At 40.4% G+C, this 16,711-nt stretch overlaps 1 protein-coding gene across 6 annotated transcripts in view, besides 3 other annotated features; it reads right to left on the reverse strand.

The window, feature by feature from the left end:
• Positions 1-5,580, reverse strand: part of FRA10AC1 (FRA10A associated CGG repeat 1) — a 35,077-nt gene extending 29,497 nt beyond the window's left edge. For 2 of the 6 annotated variants that reach the window (NR_144635.2, NM_145246.5), the window contains exons 1-4: positions 4,996-5,213; positions 2,651-2,727; positions 922-1,017; positions 757-802 (exon numbers count right to left, since the gene is read on the reverse strand). Coding sequence is in view for 5 of the 6 variants with exons in the window: in NM_145246.5 (NP_660289.2) it covers positions 757-802; positions 922-1,017; positions 2,651-2,727 (219 nt within the window). In the remaining variant the exon portion in view is untranslated. Of the gene's footprint in view, positions 1-756; positions 803-921; positions 1,018-2,650; positions 2,728-4,296; positions 4,417-4,794; positions 5,214-5,269 lie in introns of those variants that run through there. The other 4 variants (NM_001347715.2, NM_001347713.2, NM_001347714.2 and 1 more) reach the window with 4 other exon arrangements.
• Positions 5,144-5,167: a repeat instability region, noted in NCBI's record as "repeat instability region; expansion of the (CGG)n trinucleotide repeat (CCG relative to the plus strand of the reference genome) is associated with fragility at FRA10A". NCBI's record gives the evidence for it as "EXISTENCE:polymerase chain reaction evidence [ECO:0000082][PMID:15203205]".
• Positions 5,144-5,169: a tandem repeat, named in NCBI's record as "fragile site, folic acid type, rare, fra(10)(q23.3) or fra(10)(q24.2)".
• Positions 5,202-5,501: an enhancer, noted in NCBI's record as "active region_3786". NCBI's record gives its function as "activates an Ori minimal core promoter by ATAC-STARR-seq in GM12878 lymphoblastoid cells {active_cell/tissue: GM12878}" and the evidence as "EXISTENCE:reporter gene assay evidence [ECO:0000049][PMID:35858748]".

Here is a 16,711-nt window from a genome sequence, read left to right on the forward strand (position 1 = left end):
AATAGCACAGTGAAACAGATGATTACAGGTAGGGGGCGTATCAAATTGACACTGTCTCCTTCTCCCAATTCTGATCACAGCAATAAATACCCAAAAATACTTCAGTTTTTGCTTGGTATCTCTTAAATTCTCCAATATTCTCAACAGCAGTATGGATGGCCAGCGTAGCAGTTAGTGTCATCAGCCAGTCTTATTAAAAAACTGAGTTGACAAATGGCTATAACCAGGAAGCAGGGTTTATCTTAAAGATAGCTTTAAGTCATGCCTAAAAATTAAAGCCATGGCAGGCCTGAGGACAGTCCACAGGCAGGCCTCATTTTATTTTTATTTTTTCCTTAGATCCAGGGACAGACTGGATAGACCTAATTTTAAATACAAGTTTTATAGAGACCTTAAATAGCAAAGAACCAGGTAGGAAGAGAATAAATTAAAATGAGACTAAAGATAAGTATAGGAAAAGGAAATGTTGAAAGCTTGAAAAAACAATTTGGAAAATATATTTGCAGATTCATGTACTTTATAAACCTATTTATAGAGTACTAGTAATATGTTTTATTATTTTTGTCTCTAAATCTTTCCTATATATTAGTAAAAGAGAATTGTACCCAAAAGTATAAATGGCAAAATCCTACATCACTAAATACTTATCTTTAAAAATAAAAAAGCCTATTTGACTTCACAAGATTTTATAAAACAAAAAAGCAGATTTTAAAATATTCTACTAGTTATAAAAATCTGGAAATAAAAAAAGGATACAGCATCCATAGCTATGAGATGAAACCTTCTATTTCTTGCTTCTTCCCTGTTAAAACAAATTTTTTTAAGAAAATTCAAAATGTTTATATTCAAATTAACATAATCAAATCCCCTAATCCGAAGCAACTTAAACCAAGAAATAGAATTGACACTGAAATACCATACCTATCCAGCAATTCTGCTGCAACTTGTTTATGGGCCACCTTTCCATGTTTTTCTTTCTGAAATGGTTTTTGGAGCAGTAAGTCATCTTCAACTGTCCTGATATATTAAGAAGAAAATAAGAGTTCACTTTTTTCAAAGGTTATTTTCTAATTCTTTATATTTTCATAACTGGAATATACTTTAAAGAATGTAAGTCTTAACTTTAAGAAGACTCACTGATCTTTAATGAGATATTTTACATTTCCTTAAATAGCTTAATTAATACCTTAACATTATTTTAATACCTATAACACGGGGAAGATGAAACTAACAAAAGCATGGACTCTAGTGTCATATCACCTAGCTTCCTGATTCAAATCCTAATTCTGTCAATTACTACCTTAATCTTAATAAGATTCAATTATTTATCTCTTTGTTTCTTCATTTCTCTATCTGTAACATAGTGATAAGGAAGTTTTTGGTAATTAATGATACACAAAAAGCAAGGCTGATTATAGAGAACACAAACCACAGATCCAGCTCGCCCAACCCATGGGCCTCATGTGGCCCAGGATGGCTTTGAATGTGGCCCAACACAAATTTGTAAACTTTCTTAAAACATTAAGACACTTTTTCACATTTTTTTAAACCTCATTGGCTATCATTAGTGTATTTTACGCAGGCCCAGCACTGCTTCAGGCCAACAATGTGAACCAACAGATTCACAATTGTGTGTGCTCCACTGTAGTACGTGGCCCAAGACAATTCTTCTTCCGATGTGGCCCAGGAAAGCCAAAAGACTGGACACCCTGCCATAGACTGTCAGCCCTAGTTATAGTGATGAATATAATCCTGGAGCAGAGTATCCAACTAGATTTGCTCAAATTCTATTCTTACAAAGTAGTATTTTTGAATGAAAAATCTAGAAAATGTAAAGCATCAAAAATGTAATTTATTATAATTAGTACTATCCTTTATTGCAGAGACTGAGTATCCTATAAAAATGTTCAGAACCTGTTAGTATGCCTAATATATTGCTCTCAGTGTGAAATAATAAGCCAATTTCTATACATTTGCTTAAAAAAATCAGTCAACAGCCGTGTAAGTTTGGTTAGTATACATCAGTCAACCACTCCTGAGTCAAAGTATAAAACTGAGTTTCTATGCACTGAAAGCTAAGAACAATGCTCCTACGCACAGCAGCTCCACCAAGACGTATCCTGCTTATAACGCACAGGCTTTATGTGCTAAGAGTTTTTGTCTCTTGCAATTCAAAAAAACCTTCCTTGAGTTTCTTCCCGTGACCTTAGTCTGCTCATTCACGTATGCGTAAGAACTGTGCTGCATTATACTTTCATCCTCCATATTAACTTCACTTTGAAGGCAAGTAATGGCAAGAGACCACCATTCAAGCCCCTTCTGAGCTACAACATTTACAAATAAACAGTCCTTGACAGTTGAATGAAAAATATATGTAATGAAAAGGTTTCACTGATTTCTGAAAAGATTCCAGAAATCTGAAACTCTTCTTTCCCTTTCAATAAACCCCTTTGCAGAATTAATTTTTATTTTTCCCACAATTGTTCTCCAATTTTTAATCAATGTATTAGCTTAATGAACAAAAATTCATTCACTAGAGCAATTGTCTTCACATGTAAACAGAATTCAAAAATTTCACTCTTGTTTATTTATACTTCATATTAATCTAGAAAGGATGTGAAAAATAGATCAATAAAAAAAAATTACTTACCTTTTTTTCCTTTTGCTGGATTCTCCACAGCGTTCATCATCACTAAAATCAGAATCATAGCCTCCATGACCATGCATCTGTAAAGGAGTACAAAGTCAGCTATTTAGAATCTATGTTGCCAATTGTCCAGGAAACAATAATTCAAAAATAAGTTATCTTAAACAGCCACAATAGTTTTAAAGGATCATTGTGGGCAGATTCCTATTCACAGGCCATCTAGCCATCTAAAACTTTCATTCGCTTTTAAATAAGAGACATACCTTTCAGGAAATGCATCAACATTTTTCACCCTTAATTATCATTAGGTGAACAAAGAAGGCTACTCTTTGATCTTTTCACTGAAAAACCAGGCCTAAAAGCTGCAGTGACTGCTTACAAGGTTTAGCAATCCTTCACTTTTGATTCAGAGTAGTAATAATCACTGTGTGTTTATCACCAACTTTGTTCTAGACATTGTGTTAAATACTTTACAAACAACACTTCTAATTCTGCAAGTTAGAAAGTTATCTTCATTTAGGAATGAAGTAATCAAAGTTAAGTAAATCTATTTACAAATCCAGTAAGTGGCTAATCTGCTGTACTTGATTCCTGCGCCCACAATTTCAATTACTCCAAATTTCCTCTCTGGAATATGATTTACTATATTCCAGGAGAATTACAGTATTTGTGAACAGTACATCATCAATTGATGAAAATTTTCCTGTAATCTTTTTCAATATATGTAGAGATTTCCATTTTCTTTTGAGTTTCTTTAAGGTAAACCACCTTGCCCTTTGGATTAGTCAGCTTTCTCTTGTTTCATTTTATTTATCCAGTTATTTTTGGAGAGTCTCGCTCTATTGCTCAGGCTGGAGTGCTGTGGCGCCTTGATGGCTCACATCCTCAACCTCCTGGGCTCAATCAATCCTCCCACCTCAGCCTCTCCAAGTAGCTGAGACTACAGGAGTGCATAATCACACCTGGCAAACTTAAAAAAATTTTTTTTTTGTAGATAAGGGGTTTCGCCATGTTGCCCACGCCGGTCTCAAACTCCTGGGCTTGAGCAATCCGTCCACCTCAGCATCCCAAAATGCTGGGACTTCATTTTAGAACTGAAATTCTTAGAAATGCTGGAAGACCTCAGTTGCCACTCAATTGTATTGGAAGAAGCTCCTAGTTCCAGCTTTGCACTGAATTTGGAACACACACTAAGAAGGAAGGATGGACTATTTGATGTCATACATAACTAATTTACATGGCTGGAAGGAACAGTCCAGGTTAAATGATATATCAAATTGTTAAAACTAATATAACGACAGCAAGTGCAGCTGGAAAAAGAGGAAAGAACTCTCTAAACTTCATTGCATTGGATCTAGGGTAAACGACATGTTTCTAGTCCTGGCTACCTTGAATAAGTCATTTCATCTCCCTGGACTTCATCTATTAAATAAGATAGCTACATGAAATAATCTTTAAGTTGTTTAAATCTTTAAATAACCTTTAAAGTCTGTAATTCCATTTTCAAACATAGGTGTGTGGGTATATACCTCTCTTCTCTGCCCCACTAAAATCCTAGATAGGAAGATGCTAGTTAAGGTTGGAGATGAAGGTTTGAAAGCCCGAGTTCCAACTCTACCCTCCCTTACATCTGTTATTGCCTTACACACCTGGATTTTACACCCTTTTTTAGGTCAACTCCAGCTGTCTTACCACATCTGTTCAAGCCATATTGTCCTCTCACTCTTTGTCCTATGTCCTCACGTTCTTTACATCTTGATGGGGGACAGCTGTAGTGTGTTTAGAGATATATTCTAGGATCAGCCTACTAGATTTCACTGCTTGGCTCTGCACTTTCCATTTGTCTTTCTTTGGGCCTGTTCCTTAACCTCTCCAAGCCTCAGTGTCCTCATTTATAAAAAGAGGCTAGTAAGATGGCTGACCTCATACGAATGGAGATTAAAAGAGTTGCCTCATCTAAAGGGTTTTAACGGTGTCTTGTACAGTGAAACCCAGTAAATGTTACATCATCATCATCATCTTTTCCCTCGCCCCAGGACACGACTTCCTATTCTTGCTCCCACTCTCCCATTTCTTTATTCGCTGGCCGCTCCATCCGACCCATACCTATCTTAACTCACTGGTTGAACTAAAAAGCTCTCACTCACTTCAGGCCTACGAATCAACTGACAAGAGCGGGGAGAAACTCAAAAACGGAGATGCCAGGTGTCTCCAGAATCTGTCATCCAAAAAAAAAAAAACCAAACCAAAACAAAAAAAAACCCGACGATCAGCTAGTACTATATGAAAAACAAGTTTTGAGGTCCTTCTCCCTGATGCCAAATATACCCACAGCCCTCCTCACACACCCTTTCCCTTCCTCCCTGTGTGCCAAGTTCGCCCCCGGAGTCGTCGTTTCCTTCTTTCCCGGCAGCTGCAGCGACGACCCACGGCCTGAGAGAGCCGCTGCAGCACAGGTCCCGTGCGCCCTGCCGCACAGCCTCGCCACAACCACCACCGCCGCCGCCGCCGCCGCCGCCGCCCGCAACCCGCCTCTCCCTACGGGTCCCGACTGGGCACCACTTCCGGTCCGACACGGCCACGTGTTACATCTAAATGGCACCGTCCCCCGAGTGCGCCGACCTTGTGCTACAGCCAGAACAGCTCCGGGAAACAAGGGCAGCGGGAGAAACGGCCCGGAAAGGGACGAAGAGGCTTCCAGCTTTCGCCAAGTCGCGGCTCCCAGTTTTTCCCTGGGCCTCCTTCCTTTCCCCTCTAGGGAATCCGGCATCTAGTACCGCTGGCACTGCTTGCTGCTTAGCCCACGCCTCTCATTTGAAAATATATTTTGTTTTACCGTGCCTATCACCTGCCGTCCTCTCTCTAGTAACCTTAGTAACGCCTCCTCGGAGGATCCTCTCAGAGCAGCTCATCAGCGCTTCAGATCAGCCTCTCCCTCCTTCCCCCAGTAAAACAGTTCTCATAATTAGAACAAAAATATCTCTCCATCGTTTCGCCACCCACACAATAGATACCATTCCAAAAGCAGTGCTGATGGCAGAAGAGCTCATCGAATTTGTGAGGAAAGAAAGAATAGGAGGAGAGATTTCTCAGGGTTGAGGATTCTCTGCCGACAAGCGACCTGGCACATGCGAAAAGGGATCCAAAATAGAATCTTAAAAAGAAGAAGAAAAAAGGCAGGAAAAGTTGGATTATTTTAAGCGCCACTAGGTTCTTCCTGTGCTTTGCGTTTTCTACATCACGACGCCCCACTCTTTCCACTCTAGTTGTTTGGTTCATGTCTTGTCTCTCGCTGGCATTAGCAGCTATTCATTTTTTGCTTCCTCCTCAGTACCCAAAACGGTGCCTTGGAAATCACAAGTGCTAATTAAATATTTGTTGAATTGAACTGGCACGCTTCTGGCGTTTACAGTGGGCCCTTTTTAGAGAAAACCTTGGCACTTAATGCACAGTCATTTTACATCTTTTGCCCTAAACAGTAGATAACGATATCCTTATCAGTTCAAGTCTCTAACCCTGACAATAAATTATAGATACATTCTGCTTTATCCATTGCACTGAATGTGATCTTAAAAGGCTATAAGATAAATTAAATTATTGTAAATTAACTTATTCCAAAATGCAATCAGATTATACTTCAATAAAAACTTTTACTAAAAAAAGTGAAAGCAATAGGAAGCCTTACAATTTGACGTTATAGTATATGGAATTATTTTGTCAAGCAGTTTCTTTTTTGGTAAATATATTAAATATATAATTATTTTATTGTTAATAAAACTAAACAGACCTATACCTCATATCCAATTTCCTTTCTATCCATATTTGACATTTATTAGCATTTTTCTACCATCCCTAGCATCTTCTTGTTTGTTGCTTCATTTTACTCTTCCAACAACCCTGTGCTGCTGTGTTATTAGCCTCATTTTACACATAAGGAAGAGAGGCACAGAACCTAAAGCCACAAACCTGGTGAGGGTCGAGAACTGGGTAGTACTTGTGTCTGTCTCTCTATAAGACCCAGTTTCTCTCTCTCTCTTTCTCTCTTTTCTCTCTCTCTCTCTGTCTCTCTCTCCCCCACTTCATGGATTGTGTGGGAAGTAGCTTCTGGTTCCAACATTTCTAAGAATTTCAGATCTGTTGCTACCAGTCCATTCAGGCAAAGATTTCCATTTTTTACTTTGAGACAGCAGTTACTGAAAAAGAGTAAATAGAAAATATATATTAGGCATAGATTGCATGATCTGAACTAGAAATAATACAGGATAGAAAACCCACCTGCTTAGGAAATCTCAAGTTAACAATTATAGCTCAACAACAATAAAAAACACAAACATTTATTCAGTGCCTACTCTGGGCAGGACACTGCCCTAGACATCAGGGTTACAGGTATGTAACAGCAACTCCTTATCCTTGAAGGTTGACTAGTAAGACAGACAATGTGTGGAATAACTACAACAATATATTCTATCATATACCAAGTGTCTAGTACATGCATGAACCTGTTGTTCCTAATTTATAAAATATGTTATTTCAATGGATATGAAAATTTAAATGTGCACCAATGCTATGTAACTCAAAGCAACAAAATACTATATTAAGTATGTGGTCAGGATGAGGGAAGTTGGGTGATGATGGTGGTGATAATACCAAGTAATAATTCTGATATAAACTATGACTGTGCATTCTTTTTTATTCAAGACCGAGTCTCACTCTGTCACCCAGGCTGGAGTGTAGTGGCGTGATCTCAGCTCACTCCAACCCCTGCCTCCTGGGTTCGAGCAATTCTCCTGTCTCAGCCTCCCGAGTAGCTGGGACTAGAGGCGCACACTACGCCCGGCTAATTTTTGTATTTTTTTACTAGAGATGGGGTTTCACCATGTTGGTCAGGCTGGTCTCGAACTCCTGACCTCAGGTGATCCACCCACCTTGGTCTCCCAAAGTGCTGGACTTACAGGCGTAAGCCACCGCGCCCAACAAATGTGCATTCTTTCTTTTCTTTTCTTTTTTTTTTTTTTGAGACAGGGTCTCACTTCATCACCCAGGCTGAAGTATAGTGGTGCCATCTCAGCTCAACCTCCACCTCCCGGGTTCAAGCCATTCTCCTGCTTCAGCCTTCCCAGTAGCTGGGACTACAGGTGTGAGCCACCATGCCTGGCTAATTTTTGTATTTTTAGTAGAGGCAGGGTTTCACCATGTTGGCCAGGCTGGTCTCGAACTCCTGACCTCAAGTGATCCCGCCTTGGCCTCCTAAAGTGCTGGGATTACAGGGGTGAGCCACTGCGCCTGGCTGAATATGCATTCTTCTAATACTGTGTGTCTTTGAGAAGATTGCATTTTCCATGTTCTTTTTATAATATGATGCTGACACTTCTCTAACATAAGCTAATACCTATGGCCACAGCTTTGAATCTGGGCATGTCAGTGACTATAGCAGAAGTAATGCTAAGACACTTCTGATGCTAAGTTGCAAAAGGTGTTAGAGCTTCTGCCTGGGTTTGTCACTCTACTTCTTTAGCTGACATGGAGTGGAGCAGAGATGAAGTAACTTCACTGAGCCTCACCCAGATTGCAGACTAATAATCAGAATAAGTATAATTGTTTCAAGCCACTAAGACTTTGAGGTTGTTTGTTATATACCGATAAATATCCAGAACCATCTGCTGTCTCACTTAACCTCCATAACATTTGATGTTATGGAGCCACGCTGGGCTTTCTTTGTTTCTTCAACATGCATGCCTCTTCAAATTTACCATTTCCTCTACCCGGAATGGTCTTAAACCCTTTCTGTTTGCCTCCCTAACTCCTCTTTATCCTTCAAAACTCAACTTAGGTGAAGGAAAGGCCTTTCATGAGCATCTCTCCCACAGACTAGATAGGATTACTGATAATATGCACATTACTTTCCATTGCACTTAGCTACATACGTAGTAATAATTTAGCCCTGTTTCCCTCACTGAGATGCAAGCTCCACAATGGCAGGAAGCATACCTCTCTTTTTCAGTGTGGAATCCCCAGTGCTCAGCACAGTGCCAGACACATGATAGTTGCTCAGAATATTTATTGAACAAATGAAGTGGGTACTATTATTATCCCTATTTTACAATAAGAAAACAGATTTTTTTAAAAAAATTATATAACACTTCCAGAGTCATGAGTAAGCAAATGGGGCACAAATATAAGTGACTTCAAAGCTCACACCATATATATGTGTGTGTGTGTGTGATATGGTTTGGCTCTGTGTCCCCAGCCAAATCTTATGTTGAATTGTAATCCCCAATGTTAGAGGTGGGGCCTAATGGGAGGTGATTGGATCATGGGGGTGGTTTCTAATGGTTTACCACCATCTCCCTAGTGCTGTCTTGTGATAGAATTTTCAAGAAATCTGGTTGTTTAAAAGTGTGTAACACCTCCCTCTTTGCTCTCTTTCTCCTACTCCTGCCATGTAAGACATGTCTGCTTCCTCTTCACCTTCCACTACGATTGTAAATTTCCTGAAGCCTCCCCAGCCGTGCTTCTTGTGCAGCCTGTAGAACTGCGAGTGAATTAAACCTCTTTTCTTTACAAATTACCCAGTCCCAGGTAGTTCTTTATAGCAATGTGAGTACTAATACTAAATATATACATATATATATACACACACACATATATGTATATATAGAGAGAGATAAGTAGAGAGAGAGTGTTATCTCTCTGTTGCCCAGGCTAGAGTGCAGTGGCACAGTCATGGCTCACTGCAGCCTCAACTCCCAGGCTCAAGCAATCTTCCCACCTCAGCCTGCTTAGTAGCTGGTCCATAGGCTGCTGCCACCACACCTGGCTATTTGAAAAAAGATTTTTGTAGATACAGGGTCTCACTATGTTTCTCAGGCTGGTCTCACACTACTGAGCTCAAGCTATACTCCCACCTCGGCCTTCCAAAGTGCTGGGATTACAGGTGTGAGCCACAGCACCTAGCCCAAAGCTCACGCTATTGACCACCATACATATTGCCTTTCAATAAGGCCCATGGTGGTTTGTGATACTTAAAAGAATTAGAAACTTTTTTTATGGAGGAAAGGTACCACATACATTGAGACAGAGGGATTAGTAAGAGGCAGGAAAGGCTTTGTAGAGGAAGTGGGACTTAAGCTATGACTTAAAGGTAGCTCTTGAGAGGAGAGGAGAGGAGAGGAGAGGAGAGGAGAGGAGGGGGCAGTCAAGGCAAGGGAGTTTCGGTAAAGGATTAGAGGTGGAAATATCCACAGGTTATTTAGAGGAATTTGAGTAGCTCACTTGAGCTGGAGAAGAATTTTTGAAAAGGATTAGTGAAAGAAAGATCAGAAAGAGAGATTAGAGCTAGATTTGGGGCATTCTTAAATGCTAGGGTGCAGAGATTAGTTTAGAGCTAGGGAAGTATTGTACATAATACAGTGGTGGTTTGGACTGGTAGATATCTGAAATCAAATTTATATATAAATCCTGGCTCTGCCATTTACCAGCTATGTGGCGTTGAGCATCACTTAATGTTCTTCAAATTTTCATCGTCTTCTGTAAAATGGGAATAATGACAGTAACTACTTCACAGTATTCTTGTGAGAATCAATTAAACGTTGCATTTAAAGTGTTTAGGCTACTGCCTGGCACATGGTAAGACTTAAATGTTCACTAAATGTTCACTTAAATGTTCACTATTGTTTTAAAGAGGAGGCAATATAGATAGAGTACAGGAAGTGGTGGGAATGGAAATGGAAAATTTCATTTAAGAGTGAGTTGAAGAAATAAGTGGTAAAAGATATGAGTCATTGGGCATAGGGCACAAAGGATACAGAAGTGAAAGGTACCTCCAAAGCTGAAGACACTGAAATAACATAGGTGCCCCTGATGGAAATGGAGGGGGTGACTAAAAAATGACATTGTCTTGGGGAAATGATAAGTTGGCTTCAAATGGGGATTTGGCACTACAACAAAACACACAAACAATTAAAATACCTCTTCCAAGCAAAAGTGTGATGCTTGCAGACATCGTTTTTAGCATACTCTACCTCTTCATTCTTCACCTGTTCATCTTTTTATAGGTCCTCACTCTTGTCCGTCACTTCTCCCCCATCAACCCCCAAAATGTTATCGTTCCTTTCCCCCTCAAAGGCTGCTCTGCGAAACAGTAAAGAACCATACTTTAAAGTCAACTAGACCTGCATTCTGCTATGTACTAGCTAGGAGAACTTGGGCAACTTGTTTGATTTTCACATCTATAAACGGGGATAATAATAGTTCCTATCTCACAGAGGGTTGATGAAATTTGAAATGAAATGATACAGTTGAAATGCTTAGCATAATGTGATGCCTAGTTCATAGTAAGTATGTAATAAATCCTACTTGAGAAAATAATTAGAAAAGTTTAACAATTAACTGCTTCTCAAATACAGTCCAGAAACAGACCTATATATATAATATAGTCCTATGATTAATGGTATAGGGTTAAGTATAGTCTTTTCAATAAATAGACCCAAGTCAATTGAATAATACAGTAAAAAATATTGATTTCTACCTCACACTGTATACAAAAGTCAATTTCAAAGAAAATGTAGGAAAATATCTTCATGATATGATAACTTCCTTAGGGCAAGAAAAATTTTCTTAAATAGGACACACAGGGAGCTAACCATAATGAAAACACAATAAAGAACTTCTGTTCACTTAAAATACTTTATTGAGAAAATGAAAAGTTAAGACATAGGGTGGGAGAAAATATCTACAATATGTATATCCAACAAATTATCAGAATATATACAAATCTTCAAAAATCATTATGTAAAAGACAGCCCAAGAGGCGCGTTTGCTCATGCCTGTAATTCCAGCACTTTGGGAGGCCAAGGTGGGTGGATCATTTGAGGTCAGGAGTTCCATGAGACCACCCTGGCCAACATGGTGAAACGCTGTCTCTACTAAAAAATACAAAAATCAGCCAGGCATTGTGGCACACACCTGTAATCCCAGCTACCTGGGAGACTGAGGCCCGAGAAACACTTGAACATGGTAGGTGGAGGTTGCAGTGAGCCAAGATTGCACCACTGCACTCCAGCCTGGGTGACAGAGTGAGACTCGGTCTCAAAGAAAAAAAAAAAACTATTACATAAAAGACATAAACCTAATAGAAAAATTCTCAAAAGACTTGACCAGAAAATACACAGACGAAAGATAGCCAAATGGCCAATGCACATAAAACAAAGCACGCATCTTTACTAGTTATCAGATAAATATCAAGTAAGCACACCACTACCACTACACACCCATCAGAATGGCTAAATGGAAAATACAAATCTGGTGTTGGAGAAGATGTGGCATGACTGTGACTCTTATATGCTGGTGATGGGAGTGTAAATTGGTACAGCTACCTTGGAAAAGATGTTTGATAGTACCTTGTACCTACTAATGCTGATCGTGCCTATCCTAGGTTTCATCAATTCCACTCCTCAATGTATTTCCAACAGAGAAGTGTATATGTATTCACTGAAAGACCTGAACAAGAATGTTCATAAGAGCTCTATTTGCATATAAAAATCCAGAAACAACCCAAATGTCCATCAGCATTAGAATAGTTAAGTAAAAGGTGGTTTATTTGCACAGTGGAATACTATGCAGCAATAAAAATCAACAAACTACAACTACGTGCAACAGCATGGATGAATCTCATGAGTATTGAGCTGAGCAAAAGAAGCATTACATATGAAAAAGAGTACATACAACAAATCCCATTTATATAAAAGACAAAACCAAATAAACAAAATGACAACTATGTGAGGTAATGTATATATTAGTTAGCTAGATTTAGTCATTCCACATTGTATATGTACTTCAAAACAAGATGTTGTACAAGGTAAATACTTATAATTGTATATGCCAATTCAAACAAACAAACAAAAGTAATCTATCTTGTTCCAAGTTAGGATAGTGGTTTCCCTGATGAGGGAGGGGAAGGGACTACAAAGGGATACAAGGAAGAAGGGGTGGCTTCTGAGGACATGGCAAAGTTCTGTTTCTGGTCCTGGTATTGGTTACATGAGTGGTTCATTCACAACCATAATTTGTGCACTTTTATGTATGAGTGTTATAGTCAATAAAAAGTTTACATTAAAAAACTTAATTGCTCCTAGGGGTTTTTAAAACTTTGGTAAATGGAAGTTTTGGTGATTTAAGCAACTTCAGGCGTGAAAGAACAGATTAGGAAGTGGATAGGTGGAATTTTCTGGGGCCTTGGAAATTATGCCACAGAAGTGCTTACATACTCAAAGACAAATTTCCTGTAGGCATTGAGACAGAGGCCTGCGGGAGCTCTGTAAATGCTGAGAAAGACTCTAGTCAGCATCCAAAGGACTGAAAGTTCCCGGGCCTTGAACACTTGGCAAGGTCAGCCTGCACTTTCTGTATATTTATAAGCTCAGATCTGGAAGAAGGTAGCTCCACACCTGCATGGTAAAGCTCGGTCCTTGAATAGAGACACAGCCCAATAGTGATCTGCAAGCTGGCCAAAGGTCAAGCCCTTGCTTGTGGAAATGGCTGGAGCAGGCTGCCAGAGAGGTTGCACTGCACAAATTCTGTGCCTGGAATGGACATTGGGAAGCAAAAGTGGAGAGACAGCAGTATACCAATTAGCCAAATGAATTGATTGTCATTTTTGGCCTGCTCCCAGGAGATGAGAACAGAGACAGGATGTCTGGTAAACCCCTCTCTGAGACAGTTGTGGATAAGGAGCCTTGTGATTAAGAGATAGGGAGACACTTACCGGGTCAGATGAGATGAGAGGCAGAAACCAGGAATGCTAAACATCACCGGGAAACTGATGCTGTTATTTTCTGTCATATAATATCTGCAGGTATGACGGTTTCATGCTTCACTTAGGAAAATGCAAAGTGGGGAGACCTACTGTAATAATCAAGGTTGAAGAGTGCTGTGTCTCTAGATCATTCCTCAAGGCCTCGCTGGGCCTGGGGCTATAATCATGGGAAAGACATCATTCCCATCTTCAAGACTCACCTCTAGGTAGGACACAGACACAGAAACAAGTAATTACAATACAATGGGGTGGGCAGTAATAGGAACAGGCTCAGAAAGCTATGGGGACACTAGGGAGGAGCCCCTAATCCTAAGAGAGAGCAGGAAAAGGCTTCAGAGACAGGACTTTACACTTGTGTTCACAATGCTGAAACCACAGTTTAACTCTGGGCTCCAAATTGTGCTGCCTTTGCGTCCAAAGGAGAGGGAGATATAGGACTTCCTTTCAGGCCTCCCACACTCACCAGTGATGCCCCACAGCCCCTCTCTCTATATAAGGTATAAGCAAGCTCCAAGTAGGAGTTGACCATATCACATGATTTCACAGTTTATGAACACCAAGTTGACCATGCAGACAGTGTGCTGGGATGATCAAGTAAAATGTACAGTGAAGTAGGTCATGTGTTTAAGGATACATGTCATGATTATTATGTAGTCAGGCAATTCGAAATAAACAGTAAGTAATTTTTCTAAATGATGCCTTGATTAACAAATTATCCGAAACTAAAATCTCTTTGGCTAGTTGTCCTAGTACTGAAAGTGACAATTGGTGGTAGGAAATAGAAATACTTAAACACCCACAGAAAATATAAAAGACTGAATAGATTCACGGAACAGTGGTGATTAGAAGATGGAATTTGTACTCCTCCTCACTTAGGCTGTATAAAAGTAACAGCACTCAAATACTTGTATTCATAAATAGAACTTTTTAAATAACAAATTTTATTGTCAGAACTTTTGTTGAACAGTGTAGGAGCATACAATAGAAACACAGGCCAGAACTGCTGGAGCAATCTACTTTTCAGGAGAAGTTAGAAATTTGGATTTTTAGATTTAGAAATTTGGATTTTTAGATTCAATATCCTGATTTTTTATATAGGCATCTAATTCAAGTTTAAAAATCAAAGCAAAACACCCTGTGGAAAAAACACTTCTGTGAGCTGAATTCAGCCCATAGGTTGCAAATTTCCAAGGCGATGATTCATTTCCCTCAGGACTGTGCCTTTAGCGATGGTGGTTTGGAAGCAGAGGTTATGACGCTGTCTCAGATGCATCTCTTGGGGGTTAGACAGGCTGCAGGTAAGCCAGGCATGGAGGCATGTGGACACCTTCAAGGGAAAAGTCAAAAGTCTTAAGCTCCCAGGAAAAGAGCCTTGAGACCCAGACCACAGCAAGGGGCAGTTCTTAAGTTCCTGGGCAGGAATATCAGTGCTGGTTGAGAAGATGAAGGTGTCACCCAGACTGGAGGGATGGAATTCACATCCCAGAGCACGTTGACAATATTGAATTTCACTGAAGCCCTTTGCTCCTGGAAGACAGTGATGGGTAAAGTAAACCCCTCCCATCCCCCCACACCAACCTTTTTTTGCACGTTCTAGAAAACAGCTTACTGCAAAAAACTGAGGTAGGAGGTGGGACTCAACTCTGGAGGTGGTGCTTGGACACTGGACCATATTGAGGACTAGCTAAAAGAGGGACAGAGCAGAAGCACCTCTCCGTAAGGCACGCCCACCTGTGTGCCATGTCAGTTTACCATTGCCATGGCAACACCCTGAAGTTACAGCCCCTTTCAGTTACAACTTGATGACCTGGAAACTACCACCCTTTTCCTAAAAATGTCTGCATAATCTGCCCCTTAATTTGCATGTAATTAAAAGTGGGTATAAATATGACTGCAGACTCGCCTTTGAGCTGCTACTCTGGGCACACTGCCATTGGTACCTCTGCTGCTGCTGCCAATGCTGGAACCTGCTGTGTCAATAAAAGTTGCTGTCTAAAACCACCAGCTTACCCTTGAATTCTTTCCTGGGTGCAGCCAAGAACCCTCCCCTGCTAAGCCCCAATTTTGGGACTCATCTGCTCTGCATCAGAACGACTCTTTCTCATATGACTTAGATAAGATGCACAGATGCCCTGTGTTTAACCTATGGCAAAATTAGATACAGACCGAACAAATTCTCATTCCTTACCTGATAAATGATGAGCTGAACTGCTTGTCCCCACTGAGCAATTGAACAAAATGCTTGTTAACCAAACTTTGATTCAATTTCTCTCCTTCCCCTAAGCCCCTGCACTTTGGCCCACCCCCACTCCCAGCCTGAGCCAGCACACAGCCCATCCTGAGAACAGGCTGGCCTCAGAGTAAGACATTGTATGGCCTACTATCCCATCAGGCCACCCTTTCATTCCCTTTTCCCACACCCTGTTGTTTTTAGCCTTGGTTACTTTTCTCTGTTCAAGAGACAGTCCCTTTCTTAAGGTCTCAGTATTTTCCCCATTGCAATAGTACACTTCCCCTACTGCAATAGTCCCTTTCTCTCCTGTAGTAATCTTTTTAAATAAAAGGTTGTCCTCACTAAGTGCAGATTTGCTTTTTACTTGGCAGTGTTCTTATGCATCCTATCCTACTTAGCAAAATTTCTGACAATAAGCATGCTGTCGGCCAGACGTGGTGGCTCGCACCTGTAATCCCAGCGCTTTGGGAGGCCAAGGTGGGCGGATCACAAGGTCAGGAGTTTGAGACCAGCCTGACCAACATAGTGAAATCCCGTCTCTACTAAAAATACAAAACTTAGCCAGGCATGGTGGCATGCGCCTGTAATCCCAGCTACTCAGGAGGCTGAGGCAGGAGAACCACTTGAACCTGGGAGGTGGAGGTTACAGTGAGTTGAGATCACACCATTGCACTCCAGCCTGGGTGACAGAGGGAGACTCCGTCTCAAATAATAATAATAATAATAATAATGAAGAAGAAGAAGAAGAAGCATGCTGTCGTGCTGCTGCTGTTGAAAACATTCTGTGTATGACCAGAACCATTATGTATAGGGTGCTGCCCTCTCACATGGCAAAAATTAAGTAGCAGCTGAATTGACCCCAGGTTACTGGACAGGGAGTGGCTAGAGGGCAAGAGTAAGGCCAGTAGTCCCTCTCGGCCTCCATGTCCCCACACTCAGTTCTCTTCTTCAGAGACTGCCTTCTCAGGCCCCTGCTGTTCTGTGGGGCTGGGATTGGTTGTTCTTTTCTATCTTATGC

Source organism: Homo sapiens, chromosome 10, assembly GCF_000001405.40.
Source record: "Homo sapiens chromosome 10, GRCh38.p14 Primary Assembly".
NCBI lineage: Eukaryota > Metazoa > Chordata > Mammalia > Primates > Hominidae > Homo > Homo sapiens.